The sequence below is a fragment of the Homo sapiens genome, chromosome 3 (genome assembly GCF_000001405.40).
Source record: "Homo sapiens chromosome 3, GRCh38.p14 Primary Assembly".
NCBI classification, from domain to species: Eukaryota; Metazoa; Chordata; class Mammalia; order Primates; family Hominidae; genus Homo; species Homo sapiens.
Window position 1 is genome coordinate 72,593,204 of NC_000003.12, and position 25,744 is coordinate 72,618,947.

Below are 25,744 nucleotides of genomic sequence, written 5' to 3' on the forward strand. Positions count from 1 at the left end.
AACCCCGTCTCTACTAAAAAAAATACAAAGAAATTAGCCAGGCGTGGTGGTGGGTGCCTGTAGTCCCAGCTACTCAGGAGGCTGAGGCAAGAGAAGGGCGTGAACCTGGGAGGCGGAGCTTGCAGTGAGCCGAGATCATGGTGCCATTGCACTCCATCCTGGGCAAAAGAGCGAAACTCTGTCTCAAAAAAAAAAAAAAAGAAAAGAAAACTCCTTCAGCTGTAGAATGGACTAGAGCGCAGCCAGACAGGAAGCCAGGTGAGAAATGACAATGACTGGACGCAGGGATGTATCAGTTTAACTTAGGCTGGGCTCCCCTACACCTTGAGATAGTCTAGAAAAGGAGTCAGAATTGTCCCACCTAAGGAATGAAGAAACTGGTGTATTTGCCCACAGACCCCTGTCTGGTGTTGGTCCAGGGCCTCTCCTGGAGGCATCAATGCCCCAGCATCCTGGCCTGCCCACCCCACTCCCACAGGCATGCTCCTGGCCAAAGCAAGCTCCCTGGCAGAGAATGACAGGCACCTACAAGGACACCATCCCTGGCTGTGGGAACAGTGGTGCCCAGGGCACATGTACAAGGCTGCAGCAGAGGCTGTGACTAGGTCTTTACCCAGTGATGGAGGGCATGAGAGACTGAGGCCAGGAAGAGGCTGGTGAGTGTGGTGAGATTGACAGGTGCAGATGGAAATGAGGAGGCAAGGGTTGCCATCAAAAGGAGGATGGCAACCCTCCAGCACGCTGACTGAGGGCACGAGCAAGTGAAACCTTTAATCCCCAGGGTCAGATCAGCACAAATACAGCCATGTGCCGGCCAACAACCTTCTGAGCATCCATGCAGGGCAGGATCATGGGATTCTGGTTGTTTGAGCTGCATGGACTTTTGGTTTCCAGGAGAGAAGAATTTGCAGTATTTGTAGGAGGCTTGGCTTTAGGCACATAAAAAGGCCTTAACAGACTTTAATTCCGGGTCACCCCCACCCACAACCTTGTGTTCCTCCCTCTCCTCTCCCCATGATGTAATCTCTGATGTAATCCTTGGTATATTTCTGTTCCCTGTCTCTCCTATCCAATCAGCTGCTGTGTTGGTTGTGAATTATTTGAAGGCAAGAAATCCACTCAAACTAATTCAAGTCCAGGAGGCCAGTTTTGGGGAAGATATGAGAGCTGGGGGAAGAACCGAGGGCAGGAAATGTAGCCAGGCTCCCTTTAGGTTCAGAAGCAGAGACCACTAAGACCCCAGGGGTAGAGAAAAGGCTTTTCCTATTTTTTCTGAAGCCACATGGTCTCTCATCTCCCCCTCTATCTTTTCATCTGTTCCATCTCTGTCTCATTTTTGTTCCTCTCTGCGACCTCTCTCTGTGTCTCCGGTATTTGTGCTCAGGTGAGCACATGGCCACTCCAACCTGGCATTCTGTGGCCTCTTAGTTTAAGCCAATATAAATAGGCTTCAGTCTTTATGTCTCAGTTCCTAATTCACAAGGGAGAGTACTGGATTGGTAAGTATTAGAAGACCCAAATCAAACTGGTTCCAGGAAAAAAAGCAAATTTTTTGCCTCAAGTAACTTAAAAGTCAAGGGTAGGCATCAGGCATTGCTGGATCCAGGGGCTTAAGTTCTTTTGTCAGGAATTCTGATGCTCAGCCCTTTTTTGATCTGTGTTGGTTTCATTTTCAGGCAAGTTCCCTCCAGCTTTAGATCCTCTAGTTTAGCAGTCTCAGTAGAAAGGTGGCTTCTTTCTGCCAGAAGTTCCAATCACATTCCTAGGGTTGACTCTCACTGAGCCAACCCAGATCACAGCCCCCTTGCTGAACCAGTTGCTCTGTCCAGTGGATGGAAATGCTGATGGGCCAGACCTGAGTGACACTGCACCCTGAAACCAGATGGACTAAAAACAGGAGAATGGCCAGGCACGGTGGTTCATGCCTGCTATCCCAGCACTTTGGGAGGCCAAGGTGGGAGGATAGCTTGAGTGGCCAGGAGTTCGAGACCAGCCCGGGCAACATAGCAAAACCTTGTCTCTACAAAAAATAGAAAAATTAGCTGGGCCCAGTGGTGTGCGCCTGTAGTCCCAGCTACTCAGGAGGCTGAAGTGGAAGGATCACCTGAGCCTGGGAAGGTCGAGGCTGCAGTGAGGAGCAAAAAAAAAAAAAAAAAAGCAGGAGGAGAATTTTTCTCCAAAGAAGACTGAGGTGCTGGTACCAGAAAAAGGAAAAGGAGGCATGGATTTGAGGAGGCAGAAGTAAACAACCAACATGGTCAAGGGGTGACATCACACCCTTCCACCCACCCTAAAGAGCTCTGAACAAAGCAGGTTTCTTATAACAATATGGGAACCAAAGCAGTCACCACGCTCTCCTGTCAATGTTATCTGAACAATCTCACAGACATCTGCTTCTTCCTTTCTGTGACTGGGGCACCAGCCAGGGCTGACCATCAGCATGTGTGCACTGATATGGCCACCATCGTTGTTAAAGTACTGCACTATTTCCGTCACCTGTTGGTAAATATCCACCGGCCTGAGTCCCTGGCTTCCCCCACCTAGGCCACTCAGGCCCTCTTTTGAATCCCACAGATTGCCACAGGCTAGCCACTGAAGGGTTAATGCTGAGTGCAGCAGGGGCCTCCAAGACCCTGACCCAGCCGCTTCTGATTGGTTGATGCTCATGACCTACCAGTTGTCTCATTGATCTGGTACCAGTAGTTAAATATTTTGAATATCACCCTGGCTGGCAACAGTTTCCTATCTACTCTCCTTCATTCCCCTCCATCCCTCGACTCCCACAGTCTTCCTTCACACAGCCTTCTTAAACTCTGATCTGCACTACTCACTGGCCTCCTCATCATTCTCCCCTGCATCAGGTCCTGACTCCTTCGTAGGTCTCCAGCTGCCCCTGTGAGCTGGTCCCAAATGCCTTTTCAGCCTCACCTTCCCACCCACCTCCCACCCAAATGGCTTGCTTTTCCAAATACGCATGCCTCCTCATGCTTCTCTGCCTTTGCCCAAGCTGTTCCCTTTTTCTGATATTCTTTACCCACATATTTATGGAGGGCCTACTGTGTATGTGTCAGGTGCTGGCTTGGAGGAATAGACTGAGCAGGGAAGGTGGAGACAAAAAAGACAGACAGATGTTGTGAAATGTCTCCAATGGAGAAGCTCAGCCTGGAAGCAGAAAGGGGCACTTAACCCCAGGTCCCAGGAGCTCCCTGAAGGAGGATTCCTGGAGGATGAGTAGGAGGCCAGGAGGTCTGGGGCACAGCAATGAAGTCAAGGAAGCCAGCCTGCCATGCTGTGATTCCAGGGGTCCAGCAATCTGCTTCAATGTGCCCGATGTCTGAGCACACCTCCCGTTTGCTGAGCGCTTTCCATGTGCCGGGCACTTGCTGAGCTTTCCATGCTTGATCTCACTCAGTCCTCACCACCACCCTGCGAGGTGAGGCTGTGCAGAAAATGCAGCTCAGAGAGAAGACTCACACAGCTTGTGAGCAGCAGACCTGCCATCTAAGCCCAGGCTCCCTAGACACTCTGTTCACCCCTCACCCCATTCCCATGCCCCCTGTTTTAGGGCAGAGCACCTGCTCCACCACCCATCATTAGCAAGCTGGGCCTAAGAAGAATAATCTGGCTTCCCCACAGTGCTCGGTCCACAAAGACAATCCTAGACGTGGAAAAGCAGGGAGGGGGTGGCAAGCCCTGCTCTTGGCCACTAACAAGCTGATATTTGATGTGGTTCAGCAGGTGACCTGCCTCCTTGGCTCAGTTGCGCAAAAAATGGGGATAAAAATATCTTGGGGCACTAAACAGGATAATACATAGAAAGCCATTAAACGTGAGCCACTATGTCACCTACTCTTTCAGGACCAGATGAGAAAATGGGATAAGAAGGAAAACAAGGACTCATGCTTAGGTACCCTGGGCACAATTCCTTCCTTCCCAGACAGGGAGGGAGCCTGACTACATACCTCCTCTCTCTCTCTGCAATCAAACACATCTGGGTTGGCCTATCTGCTGTGTGATTTTGGGTAAGTCACTTAACTTCTCTGAACTTTCCTACCTTCACAATAGAGATCATTATGGGGCTCTGCCTTCATTCACTCAGCAAGCCACATGCAGCAACTACTATTTGCCAGGCATGGTAGTAGGAGCTGATGATGTAAGCAAGACAAGCCCCTGCACTCATGGAGTTTATATTCTAAGGGGAAATACAGACCAACACACACATGCACCCACACACAGTCAGGCTTTCAAATAGTGATAAGCATTCGGAAGAAAATAAAACAGGACAATGGTGCAGGAAGGAGGAGGCTGCCCGTGACAAAGTGGTCGGGGGGGGGCTGTCTGTGAAGGTAACCTGGGATCTGATACCCAGTTGGAGGGGAGAAACCTGGCAGACAAAGATCTGGGGAAGAGCTGTTCAGCCAACAGGAGCAGCAAGTACAGAAGCCCTGGGGCATGAAGGAACTTGGTCTATTTTAGGTATAGAGAAAGCCCAGTGGGGCTGGAGTGTGCCAATCAGAGTGAGGGAGAATGGCAGGAATGTGGGGAAAATTCAAGATGAGGCCCTGAAAGGACTTACATGGGCCTCTGACCCATGCCAAGGGCTCCATGCAATGTCAGCTACTTTGCCTGTGCTGTCCTCCCACGGGGCAGCAGGTTGGCTCATGCCAGGGAGTCACTGGCCACCAGAAGGCTGCTGCTTATACACAGGCAAATACGGTAATTCTTTTCCTCCACCTCCCAGCAGTAGCAGCAGCAGCAGGGATATGAATTGATTGTCAGAAGCTGTTTAAGGGCCTGTGATTGAGGAGATGATCTGAGGTAAGCTGCTCCAGTGAAATAAAGGCCAACAGCTGCCTGGTTCCACATCAGCGCTGCGCTTTTCTAAAAGGCAGCTTTGCCTTCCAGCACCCACCCCCACTCCACCCCCAGGAGGCGGGGAGCTCTCCCTTCATACTCTGGGGGAGGGAGATCCTATTTAGTGACAGATGAGATGTTGGGGACTAAACCCGAGGGCGTTGAGAAGTGTAATGGCTGTGGCTGAATATGTCAGTTTCCTGTTCTTTGTGGGTGGGGTCTCAGTTATGAATAAGAATTTCATGGAAATTTTGGGATTGAAAGGAAGGAGGGATTCGGGGAGAATCAGTCCCATCTCAAATTAAAATCTGTGCATTCCTGGGCTTTCAAGTGTAGCACTTTACACAGAATCAATTTTTTCATCTGAAATACGCATTCATCCATCTATTAATTTATTCGTTTACTTATTCACTCCTTTAACAAATATAAAATGCATAAGAGCTTGGGCTTTAATCACTGGATTTTTTAATATTTTAAAATTATTTTTCTAGAGACAGAGTCTTGCTATGTTGCCCAGACAGGACTCAAACTCCTGAGTCCAAGGGATCCTCCCGCCTCAGCCTCCCAAGTAGCTGGGACTACAGGTGTGTGCCACCATGCCCGGTTTGACAGATAGATTTAACGGGTTTGGCTACTTACTAGCTATGTGGCCTCAGGCAATTCACCTCACCTCTCTGAGTCCCGGGATACTCATACCTACCTCACAAGACTATTTGAGGATTATCCAGATAATGCTCACTAGGGACTGAGCCCAGTGCCTGGCACCGGCAAGTGACCATTCGCTACAGTGTACCAGAGAGCAAAAGAGGTGCCGCAAGGTTACAAAATGAAATCAGACAAAGCCCGTTTAGGAGCTCACAGTCCAGGATGTAAATAACCATGCCATGAGGAGCATATCTTAAATGTTCTAAGAGGCACAGAAAAAGTGACATGGCAAAAGATTTCTTCCTGTTAAAAAAAAATGAGGAAGACTCAAGAGGGAATTGGAAGTGACATTCGAGCTGAGCCTTAAAGGGTGGGTAAGGAGACCAGGGGGCGAGGCAAACAAAGGCACATTCCTAGAACCTTGCGAAGTGTGGTTCATGGACGAGCAGCACCTGCTTCACCCGGGAGCTTGCTCAAAATACAGATTCTCAGTCCCACCCAGACCCACTGGATCAGAATCTGCATTCGAACAACTGGGAGGTTTGGGTGCAGATGAAAGTCTGAGGAGCTCAGGACAGATGATCTCTGCTATCTCTGAGAAATGCCTTTGTGGCAAAGGAAGGAAGGAAGAAGAGATAACCTCCCCATGTGTTTGGGCCAATGACAAGGTCATATAGATGTGCCCACCCTGGGACCTTGGCCGGGGCGCCCCAGAACCAGAGGCCTCCAGGTGTGCAGGGAGCAGATACCCAGAGACTAATCTGCAGGGAAGGTCAGGCACCTGGGTGGCAGATGTTGCAGGGCAAAATGTTCTCTGAAGCCTCAGTTGAGCCTGTTGGCTCAGGGGACGGGACTGCAGTCCTGGCCACTTATCCATTCAATTCACTCATTCTACAAATACATACCGGGCACCTTTGCGAGCCAGGTACCAGCCAAGTTCTGCGTCTAGCAATGTCATGAGCCCTCAGGCAAGCCCCTCTTCCTCAGTTCTCAGTTTCTCCATTTGTCAGGTCTGGGTTGGTGTGCTTTCTATAATGCCTGAAGTCACCTCCACCCCATTTTCTGATTCCCCCTGTCCCTTTCTTTCCCAGTGTTTCCTTCTTTTCTCTATTCTCCTCTCTGCACTATTCCTCACATTGGTTTCCATCCGCACAATATGGAAAATCCCAGCACCTCTCTTTCTTAGACCGAGTTCCCAGAAGCAGAGTGGGAAATGAGGGTTCGTGTGAAAGTGACTTATTAGGAAGTGGGGTGATAGAACTGGGGAACAAGGAGACAAATAGAGGGTACTTTTGTCTCCATCCTGCAGGGGAGTGCTGGGGACAGTGTGGCTTGAGCCTCAGAGCTGTCCCCACTGGGAAGATCAGGGTGAGGGAGCTGAGTAGACCATAAATTCCCAGGCACTTCCACTCTCCACTGGCTGCAGCAGCCTGAGGACAGCCCCCTCGACAGAGACTCAGGTGCAGGCTAGCCGGAGTGAGAGCTGGCCTTTCTGAAAACGGCAAAGGGACCCAAGGGTGGAGCGCAGGGGATGCGCTCACAGCATCCACTACATTGTCTAAATAATTATAGGCCAGGTGGAATTGAGGTTCCAAAGACATAATAATAACAATAATGTTAGACCCAAACCTATCTTTTATCAAGCACTTACTTTGAGCCAACCACTGCCCTACACATGGACCATGCAGTATCTCATTTAATCTATGGGACAAATTTCTGAGGCTTTCAAGTTTTCTAACTCCCACTCCACCCCCAGCCCATGCAACACCGCTCTTTCTTTGATCTTTCCAATTCCAAACAAAACAGTTATTCACATGTATGACGATTATAGAAGCTATGAAACTAGCATGGAGAAAAGCCTTCAGGCAAGAACACCTGAGGAGTCCTCACTCCACCACCAGCCACTGCCAGGGGATGGTAATTGTCTGGAAGACTGAATGATTTGACTTCCCAGACACTTGCACAGAGACTTCTCATTGGGTCCTTTAGTGGGCCTGGAAATTTCTCTAAGAGCTGTAGATAATATAAAATCTCATAGACCAAATTTAAGGGTGATTTAGAGCATTTTTCAAGGGTACTTTGGACTTCCAGCTGACTTTACAACAGAACCCCGTGTGAAAACGTTAAGTCTGAAGCACCGTCAGTGTTTCAACTCACAGAGAAGAGGACAGAGGCACAGAGAGGGAACAGAACCTGCTCAGGGTCACACAGCTAATAGGAGAAGGTGGTAGGGTTGTTGCTGAGGCATTTAGGTATCAAATCTGTGTTCCTGACTGCAAGGCCACACTGTGCCTGAGGGAGAAGGAGGAACACTCAGTGTTTTCTGGAAACCATGAGGGGCCTGGTCACTCTGAGGACTGTGCGGTAGCAGCCCTCGGCTCTGTCCCTCCTTGGCTCCACAGAGAGGAGATAATCCCTCATCCATCTTTCACCCAGCCTCGCGTGGTCCCTATTGGCAGCAGCTGCCTGACACTGCCTCTGAAAGATGCCTAAGACTCTGCGAACCCAGTGTTTAATGCATGCAAAGCCTTTTCCAAAGAAGTCACTTAAAAAGATTACACAGGACAGAATCACCCCTCCTGCCTCCAGCTTAGAGAGTCTTTGCAGCTGGCCTGGAGCTAAGCTAAGGAAGCAGAGTCTATAGCAGCCTGAAAATAAAGTGAGCCTTCATTGGAGAAATCACTCAGAACACCAGCTGCAAGAGCTCTGCTCACTGATTCATTCAGCAACTCTTTGCTCTATATCTGAGTGCAGGCACCACACCAGGCTTTAGGGATGGACTGGGGACATGGTCCCTGCCCTCCTGGAGCTTACATTCTAGGAGAAAGGCCCCACTCCCACAGGAATGCCCATCTTACCACGTGATTCTCCCCAAAATGGGGGATCCTTTTCCTTGCTTGTCCCTGGAGGACAGCTCAGATGCTTCTTCACTCTCGCTGCAAGGCTCAGGATGGAGGTCCTGGGGAGAAGGCCATTCTGGTTTCATTTACTTTTCTCTTTAGCTTCCTCTCTCTCCTCTTTCTGAACACCCTCCTTGCTATCTGGATGGAAGAAGGGGCAAAAGGAAGAAGGAATAAAATGTTCGTGAATGAAGAAGAACAGAAGAAAAAAGTTGAGGATGACAGGAAGGGAAGAGAACAAAGTAAGGCTGGGGATGACGACACCTGTGGCCAACCCAGTGATGGAGGGTGGGATGAATGTGAAGCCACCGAGGACCTGGATGTCCTCTCCCTTTTACCAAAGCCCTTCAGGCACTGACGGGACTGGGAAAAGAGGAGAGGACTGACAGATATGAAGAGATTGAGAAGAAACATCATCCAACCTTGTAGCAGCAACCCCCAAGGTCACCAGCCTGCTCAGATTTTTTTTTTTTTCAGTATGAAACACTTAACAATCCTTCTCACACTTGCCAGTAGCTTATGGCAGAGGTCAGCAAACTACAGCCTGTGGGATAATCCCACCTGCTGCCTGACTTTGTAAATAAAGTTTTATTGGAACACAGCCACTCTCAGTTCTGTATTGTCAAGGGCTGCTTTCACACTACAACACAGAGCTGATTAGTTGCAACAGAGACTGTGTGGTCTGCAAAGCCTAAAATATTTACTAGCTGGCTGCTTACAGAAAAAGTTTGCCAACCCTTGGGTGTTATTCCTAGGCTCTTGAGCCTTCAGAGTTCTAAAATTGCTTATCAATTCTTCAGCACTTCCTTTAAATCCACTCATCAAATATTTATAGAAGCCTACTGTATTAGAATATTCTCTTTTTGTTGCAAGTGATGGAAAACTCAGCTCACGTGGGCTCCAGCTAAAAAAGCGGGGGAGAGGGTTCTTGTTTCCTGTAACTGAAAAGTCCAGGGATTGAGGGACTTCAAGCATGGCTGACCCCAGGAGCTCAAACAACAGCAGCATGATATGGCGGTTAGAAACAACTTGCTTCTAACCAACAGAACACAGCAAAGGTGATGAGTTGTCATTTTCATGATTAGGTTACAAGAGATTATAACCTCCGTCTTGCTAGCAGACTCTCTCTCTTGCCTTCTCAGCTTGTGCACTCGGATGAAGATAGCTGCCATGTTGGAAGGGCCTGCATGGCCAGAAATGGAGGCAGCTTCCAGTCAACAACCAGTGAGGACTGAGACTCTCGATCAAACAGCCCTCCCAGGAACCAAATTCCACCAACAACCATGTGAGCTTGGGTGCAGATCTTTTCTCAATCAAACCTCCCGCTGAGATGCCAGCTATGGCTGACATCTTGCTTGCAAACTGATGAAAGACCCAGAAGCAGGGGACCTGGCTGAACTGCGCCCAGATTCCTGACCCATGGAAACTGTGAGATAATGAGAGAGAGAGAGAGAGAGAGAGAGAGAGAGAGAGAGAGAGAGTGTGTGTGTGTGTGTGTGTGTGTGTGTGTGTGTGTTTAAATATATATATTTTTCGTAGAGATGGAGTCTTGCTTTGTTGCCCAGGTTGATCTTAAACTTCTGGCCTCAAACGATCCTCCCAAAGTGCTGGGATTACAGGCGTGAGCCACCATGTCTGGCCATGTATGTTTTTTGGTTTTTGTGTTTTTTTTGAGACAGGGTTTTGCTCTGTCTTCCAGACTGGAGTGTGGCAGTGCAATCTCAGGTCACTGCAACCTCTGCCACCCGGGTTCAAGCAATTCTCCTGCCTCAGCCTCCCGAGTAGCTGGGATTACAGGCATGCACCACCGTGCCTGCCTAATTTTGTATTTTTAGTAGAGACAGGGTTTTGCCATGTTGGCCAGGCTGGTCTCGAACTCCTGACCTCAAGTGATCTGCTTGCTTTGGCCTCCCAAAGTGCTGGGATTACAGGTGTGAGCCACTGCTCCCAGTCCCACGTACATTGTTTTAAGCAGCCAGGTTTGTGGCAATTTTCTATGCAGCAATGAATAATGAATACATACCCTCATCTCTGAGAGAGGCTGGGAAGGTAATTTTTAGCTTGGTACATTGCCATCACCAACAAAATTGGGGTTCCCTACGAAAAAGGAGGAGAATGGATATTGCTGGGAAAGGCACAGGTATCTCACAGAAGCCACTGAGGCATACCTGGGAGGAGAAGCCAGTGTCTTGGATCAGGGCAGTGGCAGCAGGAATGGAGGGTAGCGATTGGATTCCTGGTTCCTGAGGTAGCAGCAATCTTATTTCTTTTAGAACAGTCTTCCTTTCACTTATTACCAGTTGGCAAGGTCCCCTTAGCTCCTCTCATACATGACCTGGTTCCTACACAGAGTTCCAGAAATGGAGCTCAAATCAGAAATCCAAAGCATTGCAGGAAAAACAGACTGGGCACAAAAGCCACTGGCTAGTTCCAAGTCACACCTTTCCTCTCATTCCCCGCTATTCAGTGGGTTTCTGGTAGTATGATTCAGTAGGATCTGGTAGTATGGCAAAAACCTCTTTCCTGGAGAGTTGAGAAAGTCTGCGATTCCAGATGCAGAAATAAAACTTATCCTTTAAAGTGTCTGCAGAAATGAAAAGAAACCCAGGTCCCTTTATAAATGTTTTAAAAATATACAGTACAGATTTGGGGGTCTAGACATGAATTTTATGGTTTAAAATCCAGCTAACCTAACCCTTCTGAGTCTCCACTTGGGGAGTTTGGAAAATGCATAATTTTAAGGGAGGCTGAATTTATGAGCGTTGTAGTTATAGCAACAGACACTTTAGATTCTGGGAGGCAGGTCCATGAGACTGTTACATAACAGTCAACTTTGTGGTTAAAAAAAAAAATGCAGGGAACACCAAGGCTGCTAAAAAATACATATAATAGAACCAAAAGACGAGGGAGATGGCAGGCAAGAGGGACAAAAATGAAGGCTGCAAAGGCTTTTTCAAAGAACATGATGAATCTTCTTGTGAAGGGGCAGGAGCTTCATCTCGCAGGCTTGCTGCTGCCAGCTCAGGCATGTAGGGAGAAACTCATCAGACAAAAGAGCAGACAAAAATATGGATGCAGCACTCAGGGGCCTGCCAAGCTGAGGATTAGGAAACAACAAAAAACACATGGATCGTGGAGGGGAGAGCTGCCTTCCGAGGGAACCTTGATCTAGGGAAGCCCAAAACGAAGGCATGGGTCAGGGCTGGGATGCTGTTTCCTCCTCTCATTTTCCTAATTCCGAGGCAGTCCCTACTATCCCGGGGAACTGTTCTTTGGAAGGTAGAGAGGTCAAAGATGCATCTCCCCAAGACTTCAGAAATCATGCTCTCTACCATGAAGCACTGGTACAAGATTGGAATCTCATGGTGCCCATGGTGTTGTGGTCGTGGAACAAGATTGGAGTCTCGTGGTGGTGTGATCGTGGGCAGAACAGCCTTTTGAACCAGGCAACAAGGGTCTTGCCCTGGCCTCCCACTTCAAAGGGTCCCCTCTGGGTTTGCGCCTCCTCAAAGGGGCAGATGTTTAAGGAGTCCATGGGACCAAGGAGATGTGCCCACCTGAGCCCCATGCACTCCCGCTTCCAGGCCCTAGTCTGGGTTCCTGGAATCCTTACTTCTCTGCCCAAGTAGCTGTAATCCTGTTTCCAGAATGTGCGTTGGCCTCTTCCCTTCTTTCTTTGTTGGAAGTCCAAACCTGCCCACCAGCATGTGCACCCAAGTCTGAGAGTTGACTTAGGGGCAGCTGTTTGAAGGACAGCGGGGATGGACATGGAGTTTGAAGGACATGGATATGCAGCTGGAGTGTCCACAAACGAGAGAGAGAGAGAGAGAGAGAGAGAGAGACAGAGACAGAGACAGAGACAGAGAGAGAAAGACAGCATGCATGAGTGAGGGACATTCTTCACAATGCAAAATGGAACGAGAGGTGGAACAGAAGGGGAGTGGGTGGAGTCAGGGCTGCTCTCCCTGCAAGATCACATTTGGGTGTGGAGGACCAAGGAGCCCGAGAAATCTAAAGTCCATCCTGGTGTTGCAGGGCATTAGGAAGATACATTTGTCCAAGTTGGAGGGTAGAACTTATTTTACATAGCATTTTGTACTGGGATGGATAATGTTTGAATACTTAGATATCGCTTTCATAAGCCCCCACTTGCACTCTTGCCACAGGGGCCAGCCTGAACACAGAGCTTGTGGTTCTGCTCTGCTTAGCTCCCATCATCCTGGCAGAAGGAGGAAAGGCAGTTGGAGGTGTCAAACCCTTTCCTACTGTGAAGTCAGACACTAAAAGATAATTCGGCAAGCTATAAAAAAAACAAAAAGCCCACTGGACCCTTGGCTGGAGTGCAACAGGGCCATCACGGTCATCCTCCATTGCACATGACACATGATGGCTGCAGAGTCATTATTCTGCTCCTGACATGTGCCCTCTCCTCCAGTGACTTCAGCCAGGGGCCCAGGCTCCTGCAAAGGAGCCCCTCACCCCTCACCTGCCCCCCAACCCCCTGCCTCCCCCGAGCTGGTCCACACAACTGAAGCAAAAAGCCATCTCCTATCTCAGCTTCAGACCCTAGCAAGAAAAATCAATAGCAGTTTGGCCCCTGGCCAGTCCTGTGTCACTCTGGACAAGCCAGTCTTATTTGCCATCCCCTAGATGAAGCCAGGGCACCAGAGCCTTCAGACAGAAAGAAGCCCAAATCCTCTTCCTAGGATGATCTTGGCATAGCCCTGATTTACAACCTCAGGGATCTGCTCCGGCCTCAGGTGCCCCAGCCGGGCAGTCTCCAGTCCGAGGGATAACTGAGCTGCCTGTTCAGCTATTTCTAGGCATAGCAGTGACCTCAGCTAGAGCCCCAGGCCCATCCAGGTGTGCCTGGTAAATGGATGGGATGGGCCTCTGAAATGTCTTTGCACGTGGGCTCAGAGTGCCTCTGAGAGAGGACTAGCCCTAAGGGAAAACAGAGCCGGGAGCCTTAAGCTTGGCCTAATAACAAAGCCTTGATTGTTAAGGAGGGCACATATACCATGAGGTCTGCTCTTAGGTTTTCTATTCCAGCCTGGCTTCCTGTAGACTGGGGTAGGAGGGAGGAGGGCCATAAAGACTGCAGGGAGAAAAAAGCTACAAGTTTTTTATTAAAACTCCATCAGGCCTTTCTGAGGGGGAATCATGTTTAAGCCTCCTTTCCCATACCCACTTCCCTCGGGAACACACAAATTAATAACGACAACATTGAGTTAGTGCTTATGTTGTGCCAGGCACCGAGCTAAGAACTTAGATCCATTTTCTCATTTAACTTTTACTACTATAGCCTGATGAAATAGTACATTTTTCATCAAGTACATTTTATGGATAAGAAAGCCAAGACACAAGGAGTGTCACCCAGATAGTAAAAAGGTCAAACCAGGGTTTCTTGTTGTCTTTTGTTTTGTTTTTTGAGACGGAGTTTCGCTCTTGTTGCCCAGGCTGGAGTGCAATGGTATGATCTTGGCTCATGGCAACCTCTGCCTCCTGGATTCCAGAGATTCTCCTGCCTCAGCCTCCCAACTAGCTGGGATTACAGGCACCTGCCACCATGCCTGGCTAATTTTTGCATTTTTAGTAGAGATGGGGTTTCACCATGTTGGCCAGGCTGGTCCTGAACTTCTGACCTCAGGTGATCCGCTTGCCTCGGCCTCCCAAAGTGCTGAGATTACAGGTGTGAGCCACTGTGCCCGGCCCAAACCAGGGTTTGAATCTTGGCCGTTCCACTACAGCCTCTTCTCTTTACCACTGAACCATACCAATCTGGTCAATTCTGGGAACTGAGTGGATCAGGTTTGAAGGAGAGTGAAGTTATATAATGCATTAAAAGATCAGGCCATGATTGCAATTCATAGATTCCACTTCTTCCATGTAGCCAGCATGCAAGAAAACATTAGACTTGTATCAGCAAGTGGTGGGAGGAATTAAAGGGATCAGAGCTCACCAGATTCTCTGGTTTGAAGCTGAATCAACTGTAGTAGTTTGAATGGCATCCCCTCAGAATTTGTGTTCATCAGCAACCTCAGAATGTGACCTTATTTGAAAATAGCCTCTTCACAGAAGTAATTAGTTAACAAGAAGTTATACTGGTTTAAGGTGGGACCTAAATACAATGACTGGTGTCCTTATAAGAAGAGGAGAGGAACACACAGAAGATAAGGCCATGTGAAGACAGAGGCAGGGATCAAAGCAAGGCAGCTACAAGCCAGGGAGCCCCAAGGACTTCCGACAACCCCAAACGCTAGGAGGAGTCAAGGAAGTATCCTTCCTCTCACCTTCAGTGGGAGCATGCTCCTGTCAATAGCTGGCTTCATGCTTCTACCTCTAGAACTGTGAGAGAAAGCATTGCTGTTGTTTTAAGCCATGCACTTCATGGTACTTGGTTACAGCAGTCCTAGAAAATTAATACAATAGTTTAGAAAAGCAAGGATGTTCCATGTGGTCCAATTGAGCTACCAAAGTCGTCTGTGTTGCAGTTCGGGGTCCAAGCCCCAGCTACCAAAACAATGTGACTTGGCTTCCTATTGGTCATTACTCCTTGTATGCGTATCTCTCTTAGATTGGTAGACAGTCATCTTTTTTCTTTGGCTGCCCAGCACTCATTTTACATTCTGATTTTTCCAGAAATCTTCATCTTTCATTCTAGATTACTTTTGGGGGAATTATCTCATTTTTGGTTAATGAGATCTGCAGGGAAAGTACTGCATCATGGGATGGGATCATCTCCCACTACAGAACTCAAAGGCACAGTCCCTGCCTCTCTCTAGCTTAATATGTTGGAGAACAGGCCCACCATGTAAGCTCAGGCAATTGGATTTTCTTTCCTGGGCTACTGTATAATGAAAGATCAAGAGTGAGGCCATTCCATGCAGGGTGACATGCTCGCAGAAAGGTTCCTGCTTGGAGACTGCTGCTGTGATTCATGCCATAGCCTCCAACATTGCCTTAGTTTCTGCTCCTATCCAAGTCTTATCCATTAGTCCAGAATCCATTTCCCATTCTAACAGCATGCAGATTTCCTTTTGGAAAATTACCTTCTGTCATTGTATGAGCATCTCCTATATGTTAGCTAGAGTTGATCTCTGTTGCTTGCAACCACAAACTCTAATTGATACACTGAAGAGACTGATGGAGAGGGGGCAGTTTGGCCTGAGCAGGACTTAAGTTTTGAAGGGCTTTTGGACAAAGAAAAAAATGAACCATAATACTATAACAACTTTATCCAAATACATGTATCACTGATGGGAGTGTAAATTGGTCTAATCACTTTGAAAGTCTGTTTGGCAGAACAGACACATGAAAAAATGCTCATCATCACTGGCCATCAGAGAAATGCAAATCAAAACCACAATGAGATACCATCTCACACCAGTTAGAATGGCAATCATTAAAAAGTCAGGAAACAACAGGTGCTGGAGAGGGTGTGGAGAAATAGGAACACTTTTACACTATTGTGGGACGGTAAACTAGTTCAACCATTGTGGAAGACAGTGTGGCGATTCCTCATGGATCTAGAACTAGAAATACCATTTGACCCAGCAATCCCATTACTGGGTATATACCCAAAGGATTATAAATCATGCTGCTATAAAGACACCTGCACACGTATGTGTATTGCGGCACTATTCACAATAGCAAAGACTTGGAACCAACCCAAATATCCATCAGTGATAGACTGGATTAAGAAAATGTGGCACATATACACCATGGAATACTATGCAGCCATAAAAAAGGATGAGTTCATGTCCTTTGTAGGGACATGGATGAAGCTGGAAACCATCATTCTCAGCAAACTATCGCAAGGACAGAAAACCAAACACCGCATGTTCTCACTCCTAGGTGGGAATTGAACAATCATAACACTTGCACACAGGGTGGGGAACATCACACACTGGGGCCTGTCGTGGGGTCGGGGGAAGGGGGAGGGATAGCATTAGGAGATATACCTAATGTAAATGACGAGTTAATGGGTGCAGCACACCAACATGGCACATGTATACATATGTAACAAACCTGCACATTGTGCACATGTACCCTAGAACTTAAGGTATAATAATAATAAAAAATAAACAAATAAATAACATTTAAAAAAGAAAGTCTGTTTGGCAGTATTGACTAAAGCTAAACATATGCATAGCCTATGACCTAGCAACAATTTATACATACACACATGCACACACACACGCATACACACACACATGTACATGCACACACATATGTATATATCCCTAACAGAAATGCTTGCATATGTTCACCAAAAGACATGAACAAAGATGTTCACAACAGCACTACTCGTAAGAGTCCCAAACTGGAAACTACCCAAATGCCCATCTACACTAGAATGGATAACTAAACATTGTATGTGCTATATCCACGCAATGGCATACTACACAGAAATGAAAATTATAAGCTACAGCTGTATTCACTAATGTAACTATATCTTACGAACATAATGTTAAGCAAAATAAACTAGATTTTAAAAAGTCTATATGATTCCTATTTATATCAAGTTTTAAAAGAGGCAACCAGAATCTATAGTGTTAGAAGTTAGGATAGCAGGGCCAGGAGCGGTGGCTCATGCCTGTAATCCCAGCACTTTGGGAGGCCAAGGCTGGCAGATCATCTGAGGTCAGGAGTTCGAGACCAGCCCTGGCCAACATGGCGAAATCCCATCTGTATACAGAAAAAGACATAAATTGTAAGTTACAAAAAAAAAAATGTACAAAATACAAAAAAAGTCCAAAAATACAAAAAAATTAGCCAGGTATGGTGGTGCACACCTGTAGTCCCAGCTACTTGGGAGGCTGAGGCAGGAGAATCACTTGAACCTGGGAGGCGGACATTGCAGTGATTGGAGATCGCGCCACTGCAGTCCAGCCTGGGCAACAGAGCAAGACTCCATTTCAAAAAAAAGAATTAGGATAGCGGTTACCCTGGGGAAGGGGGGCTACCCTTGCTAATGGAAGGGGGCACAAAGGAGATTCTCTGGTGCTGGGAATCTGCTGCTTCTTGATCTTAGTGCTGGTTACATGCGTGGGTTCATTTTATGAAAAATATGAAAAATCCATGGAGCTGAATACTTATGATTTATGTCTCTTTCTATATACATACTACACTTTAATAAAGCTTACCCAAAATCTCTTATTCAGATTCCTCATGCTCTCCAACAGATTATTATACTATAGGGGGGATGACACTTGAGGACTCCTGCCCATTGAGGACTCCTGAAAACATGCAGCTTCAGGTCCTCGGGGGAACCAGCAAAGCAGAAATGAGAAGTCACAGTGCCCTGCATCAGGCACAATTGTACCCAATTGTACAGGGAAAGCAGCAGTGGTACCTCATATACCAAGGGTGCCCAGAATAAGGAGGCAAGAGCAGGAGAAAGGAAATAGAGTGGTTTATGCCAGGATGTACTGACTGTTCATATTTATGAGCACATATGTGGCACCCTAATGACTTCTATAAATACTTACTAGGGGAAGATTCAGTAAAAAGCCTGGATCCTGCCTTATAAGTGGGGGCAAGAGCCGACAAAAGCCTGGTACATGTCACTGGGTCTGGTCTGGCAACTCAAGGGAGACAGAAGCATCAGGGATCTTTGGCAATGCCACTCCACAAAAGTTAAAGGCGACAATAAACAAAGAGTTTGGTCAAAACAAAACCTACAGCTTCCAATGGCTCATTCACTGCAGGTTGCAAAGTGTCTGATATCTTTACATATTTTAGTGCGTTTGATTTACCCAGTATCCCGATGAGATAGGTATGCTAGGGGGAGAAAAGCTTGTGTCATTAAGTGGTAGGGTATAGCACATTAATTCTAAGAACACACATACTGAAATTAGACCCGATTTCAAATTCTGACTCTGATAGGCTGGATGCAGTGGCTCATGCCTGTAATCCCACCACTTTAAGAGGCCATGGTTGGTGGATCCCTTGAACCCAGGAGTTCCAGACCAGCCTGGGCAACACTGTGAAACCTCATCTCTACAAAACATGCAAAAATTAGCCGGGCATGGTAGTGTGTGCCTGTAGTCCCAGCTACTCGGGTGGCTGTGGCGGGAGGATCACTTGAGTACAGGAGGTGGAGTTTGCAGTGAGCTGAGATCGTGCCACTGCACCACTATACTCCAGCCTGGGCGACAGAGTGAGACCCTGTCTAAAAAGAAAAGAAAAAAGAAAAAAAATTAGCCAGGCATGGTGGTGCGTGCTTATAGTCCCAGCTACTGGAGAAGCTGAGGTGAGAGGTTTGCTCGAGCCCAAGAGTTTGAGGCTGCAGTAAGCTATGACTGCACCACTGCATTCCAACCTGGGTGGCAGAATGAGACCTCATCTGTAGAAAAAAAAATTCTCTTTTTTTTTTTTTTTTTGAGATGGAGTCTCACTGTGTTGCCCAGGCTGGAGTGCAATGGCATGATCTCGGCTCACTGCAACCTCCGCCCCCTGGGTTCAAGCAATTCTCCTGCCTCAGCCTCCTGAGTAGCTAGGACTACAGTCATGCACCACCATGCCCAACTAATGTTTGTATTTTTAGTAGAAACAAGGTTTCATCATGTTGGCCAGGCTGGTCTCAAACTCCTGACCTCAAGTGATCCACCCACCTCAGTCTCCCAAAGTGCTGGGATTACAGGTGTGAGCCACCATGCCTGGCCCTGATTCTTTTATTTATTAGTTATATAGTCTTGAATTTGTTCCTTAATTTCACTGAGCCTCAATTTTCTTTTTTTTTTTTTGTTTTGAGATGGAGTCTGTCTCTGTCCCCCAGGCTGGAGTGCAGTGGTGCCATCTCGGTTCACTGCAACCTCCACTTCCCAGGTTCAAGCAATTCTCCTGCCTCAGCCTCGCAAGTAGCTGGGATTACAGGCGCCTACCATCACTCCCGGCTAATTTTTTGTGTTTTTACTAGAGACGGGGTTTCACCATGTTGGTTAGGCTGGTCTCGAACTCCTGGCCTCAAGTGATCTTCCTGCCTCGGCCTCCCAAAGTGCTGGGATTATAGGCGTGAGCCACTGTGCCCATCCGAGCCTCAGTTTTCTCATCTATAAAATGTGAACAATAATATTACCTACCCCATTATATGGTTGTAAAGATTAAACAAGAAAATGCATATGAAGTACTTAGCAGAGTGCCTGACCTACAGAAAGATCTCAGTGTTACTGTTTTTCTTATCATTTTTTATAATCTTTTCATTTATTTTAAAGAGAAACTGTAGAATATTAAGCAAGAACGGCATTTATGATTTATCTTTTGTAAACTTTAAAATGGAGTCTGTTAGCTACAATACTCTGTGATAAATATTTTTGAACATGCTTTTATTGTCATGTAACTCCTCAGAATCAATAAAGATATTATCAATTCACACATGCCCAGGACATAATATCTTAAATGCTGGTGGTCACCTAGCCCCACTGGCTCACAACTGCTGAACCCAAATTGTTTCTTTCTGTTAGGATCTTATCTGGACATTAATCCCTACAGCAGGTGGGAGGGAAGGGCATGGCCTTTTTTTCCCCAGAGGTGCTGTCAATGATAAGAGGAGAATGAAGACTCCTAATCGATTCCTATTGAGGAGGCTACAGGGGTACTTGAGGAGAGGCAATGGAAAGGTCATTAAGGACACTTTGGGGTAATTTATGGGGTCTCATTATCTTTTCTCCTAAAAATACATAAAATCTGGCAAACTCTTCATCTGTTTTGGAAAAAATATCTAAGAGAATAGAATATATCAAGAAGGGCCAAGTGGATGTTTCCATCAACCATGTAGCCCCATCTCCCCTGGAGATTTTGGCCAGTTGTGGTGGTTCACATCTGTAATCCCAGCACTTTGAGAGGCTGAGGCAGGAGGATCACTTGAGGCCAGGAGTTCGAGACCAGGGTGGACAACAAAGTGAGACCACCCCCGACCCCGCCAAAAATAAAAAAAAAAAAATTAGCTAGGCGTGATGGTGCATGCCTGTAGTACCAGCTACTCAGGAAACTGAGATGGGAGGATTGCTTGAGCCTAGGAAGTTGAGGCTGCAGTGAGCCAAGATCACACCACTGTACTCCAGGCTGGGTGACAAAGCAAGACTCAGTCTCAGATAAATAAATAAATTAATTAATTAATAGGAGATTTTCTCTTTGCTAACATTCCTAACTCGAATGGCCTATTTGTAAAGAATAAGCAGAAGGTGTAATTACAGAGATATTATGCATGTCTTGTATTTCTAAGGTCCAACATCTCTCAATATGTGCTCTGCACAAGTAACTCAGCAAATAGGGTTCTAGGAGGAAACAAGTGTGGGGACATTTAACACTATTATCAAGGATATTTTGTTGCTGTCTCCCTAGCATAGTTCCCCCACCTTCCATTTTTCTTTGGGGACTCACCCTCCCCTACACTCTGACTCTGGAATCTGGCTAGAGTGTCATCCCTCCCTCTAGGAGTGGAGTGTGTGGTCTAGGCCTCAGCCAATCAGCAGGTCATATTTCCCTAGTCACAGTGATTGGTTCAGAAGTGAGTACGTGACTCATTCAGAACCAATGAGACACAATGAGGTTTTCACAGTGGGTGCTGGGAAAAAGGCAAATATTTTTTCCCATTGGTTTACCCAGTGAGATGTGATACTGGAGCTGTGGCAGCCATCTTGTGGTCACTAGGTGAGAGCTTACCTGAGCCAGGACAGAAACAAAATGAAACAAACAAACAAACAAAACAACAACAACAACAACAAAATGGATGGAAAGCATGTGGCAGCTACAAAAATGCCCCTCTCAGATCTCCTGTCATGGGGAGGGTAGTTGACTAATGGCCCCAGCTGCTGCTCTCCAAATCTGAATCCATCACCACACTGTGACCAAGACCATTTTTTCCATGGCTGCTCCCTGACAGTGAAAGAGCCCAGCAGGGACTCCAGGGCAGATCCGTTTCCGCAGGAGACAGGCCCATAGCCACACCAAACTGCAAGGGAGGCTGGAGAATATAGCCTTTATCTTAGGCAGTCACGTGCCCAGCTAAAAACTATGAGCTTTTATAAGAAGGTGCAAAAGGATATCGTGGACAACTAGAAATCTCTGCCACTGAGATTTTAATTTTCTGGACATAACCACAGATGGTTCCTCCCTCTGGTTCCCTTTCTGCCTTCTAATTACTCCTGTGCAGTCCTTCTTTACAATGCAATGTGCTTACCTCCCATCCCCCACACCACCATCAAAGTTCACACTTGGTTATCTTTCTCCTACTGTTGTAAAAATAACCTCTTGCTTCTTCCCTCTCTGTGGCAAATTCATCCTGGCTAAGCCAACCACATGAGGCTTCTTAAATGCCGCTTTGTACACACTTCCTCTTGTTTCTTACCATTGAAGCCCCTTGTCTATGGGGGGAAAGAACAACCTCTTTGGTCTTTTTCTCTGGACTCTCCCTAATCTGGCCTCTTCCTGACTACTTGAAGCTCATTCTCACCATGACCTGGCAAACTGGGGCTGCTTCTCTTCACCAATATACAGCTCCTCACCAGTTTTTTGTTTTTGTTTTTGTTTTTCATGTTTATTGCCTGTTGTTTACCCCAGGTCCTCTGTCTTTTTTGACCTTCTCCTGGACCGTTGGTCTTTTGCAGATAAAGAACAGATTTTCAGACTACCTCAAGCCATTACTCCAGTGAATTGCAAGGACACATATAACATATTGATAACAGGGATCTCAAGAGAAACCAAGAAAGGTGAACTGCTGAGCTTCCTGGAGTCTGGAATAGACTTTAGAATTTGACAAAGCAAGTTGGTTTGTTGGTTAAATTGTGGACTTTGGAGTCCAACCGGCTGGGTTTTTGAGGCTTGGTTCTTCCAGTTACTAGCTATGCGATCTTGAGCAAATGAATTAAGCTTCCTTTCCACATTTGATAAGTAGGATAAAGATAAAACCACCTCTATAGGGTTGTTGGGAGGTTAAATGAGATGATATATATAAGCCACTTAGCCCAGGGCCTAGAAAATAGAAGGCACTCAGTAAATGCAGGTGGGTCTTGTGTTTGGAGTCCACACAGGAACTAGATCAGCTAGCCCAAGCTGCAGAGAGAGTTGAGGGATCCTCACTCCATTCCACACTTCTCACAACCCAGTTACTCTGTCTCCATTTCTCTGTGTCTTCTCTAGCTTTTCTACTGTTTACTGATTCTTTCTTCATATTTCAGCTTCAGTCCTTCTGGATTGGCACTGCTGATTGTGGCACCTCTTGGGCACAGCATTTCCTGCCCGGCTCTATGCCCCTGAGCAGCTCCTATTGGCTGTCCCTGGTCAGGGTTGCATGCTGGTCCAATCATCCCTGGCGCAAAGGAGAGGCCGTGGACATGAAAGGAAGGAGCCACTGGGTACATGTGGTGTCACAGATGGCCTGCTCTGCACTTCTACTTCTAAAGCACAGATGGGAAGAAATGGATCTTGTCTACGATCTACCCTGTACCCAACTGGGCACTTACACAGAAGCCTCACTCATTCAGGACTGCATTAGAATTCTCATGGCTAGGTTGGCCGTCACTTCATTTTAAAAAAAAATTATATTTTACGACTGCATTGGCATAAAGAATAACATCTAGGCTGGATTCATTGTTACATATTGATTTTTTTATATTTATTTTTTTTTCCTGTTTGTAAAGGAAAATAACAACACTATCATGTATCCCTAACAGTATCTGGGCCTCTGGCACTGTGTCTACTAGGCCTAATGGAAAAGTAGATCCTGCATTCACCCATTCAATAAATATGTATTGAACATCTACTATGGGCCAGGCACTGCGCTAAGTATAGAGAGTACAGAGGTGAGGAAAATAGAGTTCCTGTCCTCATTGGTTTAATTTTCTAGTGTAAGCTCCAGATCATTCCTCAAAACCTCAAAACACGGTATGGAGTTTTCTGAGGCTATTTCTCACTAGTAATTATGGGGAACTGGGATTAAAAGAGCCCTTCTTCTGTTGCTTTAACACTTGGACTTAGTAGGAAAAGATAAAATCACCAGCATGCTAATTGAACGGGCTATGCCTAAACAAAGACAATGTACAGTTCATCTAAGTTCTGAGAACAATGGGAGGTGGTGTGCGCTTTCATCCTGTGCTCCTCCTTTCTAGGGAAGACTCCTTTGGGAGGCAGTGCGGGGCAGTGGTTAAGCAGCAGGCTCTGGAGTGTTCCAACTCCAGCCCCAGCTCTTCCTGGCTTCACAGTTTTGAGTAGGTTATCCTCGCTCCACCTTAGTTTTCTCAAATCTAAAATGTTTCTGCAGGACTTTTATGAGGATTACAGGAGAAAACTCGTTTGTAGCATGGTGAGAGCTCAAGAAATGTGTGCTATTAATTAATATTAGTGGCTGCCCGAGACCATGAGGCTGTCTGCATGCTGAGACAAAGAGTGGTCTAATCCATTAGCGATATTGGCCAAGGACAGCGCCTTTGTTCTGTATCTCCTACCTCGAGAGAAGACTCGGGGTATAAGACCAGAGCACCAAGGCAAGGGCGATATTTACAACAGCCTCCATAGGCTGAGTGCGCCCTGTACATGGGGTTTTTGCTGCTTACTTGAATCACAGTATTTCATTTAATACTCTCCAGTCAAGGGTAAGATAGGCATTACTGTCCCCGTTTTACAGTAGAGAACACAGAGGCCTAGGAAGGTAAGTAGATGGCATGGCAGAGGGGAAACTGCAGCCATGGGGACTGTCCTCCCTTGGGCTCTTCTCTTTTAGCCAGGGTTGCAGGTGGAAGTAGCCCCCAGTGAGACTGCAGGGAGGACCTGGCTTGGTGCTAGCATCAGTTAAATCACATATTTGACAGTGCTGGTGGGCAGGTACTTTGTGGATAAATCATCAATCCAGGGAAGGGGGTTTCTGGCTGCTGCTAAGATGGAATCTAGGACTTCTCAGGCATGCGACATTTCCCAGACTCGGGGAAAGCAGTGGAAGAACACTGAACAGTGTTTAGCCCTTTCCCCTCTTTCTTTGAGCCAATGAGGCCATTCAGCATTTGTGTTCACCAAGCCTCCCGAGTGGTTTTTGTCGCAGCTGCTGAAGTCAATAATAGCAGCAGCCATAGGGAGATTTATAGGGGAAGTTCACATCTTCACCTCTCAAAATTGTAAGTAAATACAAAGCTCCCACAAACCACATGGTACGTTGTTTAAATCCCTGTGCAGAATCCATAGGTCTGGCCCCTGCCCACTTCTCCCAGTGCTCTCTCCACTTCTCTCTGCCTGGCCTTTGCTCTCTGTTAATATTTAACTGCTCCTAATTCCTCAAGAGCCTATTCTGATTCTCCTTTCTATGTGGTTTTCCAAGATGCACTTCTCCATGGGATGCTGCTCCCCATCCAGAAATCTACTGTTCTACTCCCTCCCTCATCATCCTTTCTACCAGAAACCCTTCTTCTATCAGTCATTGTGTAACAAACCACCCAGATTTAGCAGCTTAACTCAACTATTCTTATTGCTCATGGTTATTTGAGGTGCTGTGAGTTGACTGAGCTCCACTGAAAGTTTCTCACGCGGGGTCTCTCAGCCAGTTGCAGTCAGATGGCAGCCAGGGATGGAGTTATCTGAAGGCTCAACTGGACTGGACATCCAACATAGCTCCTTCACACACCTGTCCCTTGCCTGGGTGAGATGGGTGGAAAAGCTGGCTATGGAGATGGTATTTCTGTGTCTTCTTGTGATGCCTTCCCATGGCTAGGTTGGGCTTCCTCACAGCATGGTGGCCTCAGCATAGTCAGACTTTTGACATGACAGCTGATTTCTCCCAGAACATGCATTCCAAGAGACCAAGGTGGAAGCTGCAAGGCCTTTTATGACCTAGCCTTGGAAGTCACACAGAGCCACTTCTACCACGTTCTGTTGGTTATATAGGCCAGCCCAGACTCAACACGGGAAGGAACTAAAAAAAAGGCATGAATGTCAAGCAGTGTGTCTCATTGAGAGCCATCTTGAAGACTGGCTACCACACCTTCTGGTCTTTCCCCGTTCTCTGCACATCATGTACATCCTACCTAAGAACTTATCTTAGGACTTTACAGTTGCTTCTCTTCTGTCTCTCTACTCCACCATGAGTGCTGTTGTTTAACTATTTTTGAGCCTTTGGTGCCTGGTCTTGTGCCTGGCACTCACTAAACACACGTCACTTTATAGAATTGAGCCAAACTGTGACTTAGAGCTCCCCCAGCCTCAAGGCTCCAATCAGATGGCTCCCCCACCACCAACTGAAAGAGGAGCACCCCCAAACTTGGACCCAGTCCAGGCCTGTTACCCTACAGACAACACAAAACAAAGCACTTCTCTTTTTTCCCTCTAGGACGACAAGTTAATTCAGTTCTTGAAAA

General features: G+C 46.8%; 2 long non-coding RNA genes across 3 annotated transcripts in view, besides 1 other annotated feature; one reads left to right on the forward strand and one right to left on the reverse strand.

The window, feature by feature from the left end:
• Positions 1-25,744, reverse strand: part of LOC105377161 (uncharacterized) — a 134,312-nt gene that overhangs the window by 11,074 nt on the left and 97,494 nt on the right. Inside the window, exons 9-10 of the long non-coding RNA XR_940962.3 lie at positions 14,693-14,811; positions 8,358-8,540 (exon numbers count right to left, since the gene is read on the reverse strand). This is a non-coding gene — a long non-coding RNA (uncharacterized LOC105377161). The remainder of the gene's footprint in view (positions 1-8,357; positions 8,541-14,692; positions 14,812-25,744) is intronic.
• Positions 12,922-13,122: a silencer, noted in NCBI's record as "peak4696 fragment used in MPRA reporter construct". NCBI's record gives its function as "represses an SCP1 promoter by STARR-seq MPRAs in K562 erythroleukemia cells {active_cell/tissue: K562}" and the evidence as "EXISTENCE:reporter gene assay evidence [ECO:0000049][PMID:32103011]".
• Positions 20,951-23,164, forward strand: LOC102724817 (uncharacterized). 2 transcript variants are annotated; one of them, XR_427349.4, is made up of 3 exons: positions 21,025-21,056; positions 22,013-22,114; positions 22,583-22,730. It is a non-coding gene; the product is annotated as an uncharacterized LOC102724817 (long non-coding RNA). The 2 variants fall into 2 exon arrangements; XR_001740751.2 differs by lacking the exon at positions 22,013-22,114 and having other exon boundaries at positions 20,951-21,056; positions 22,583-23,164.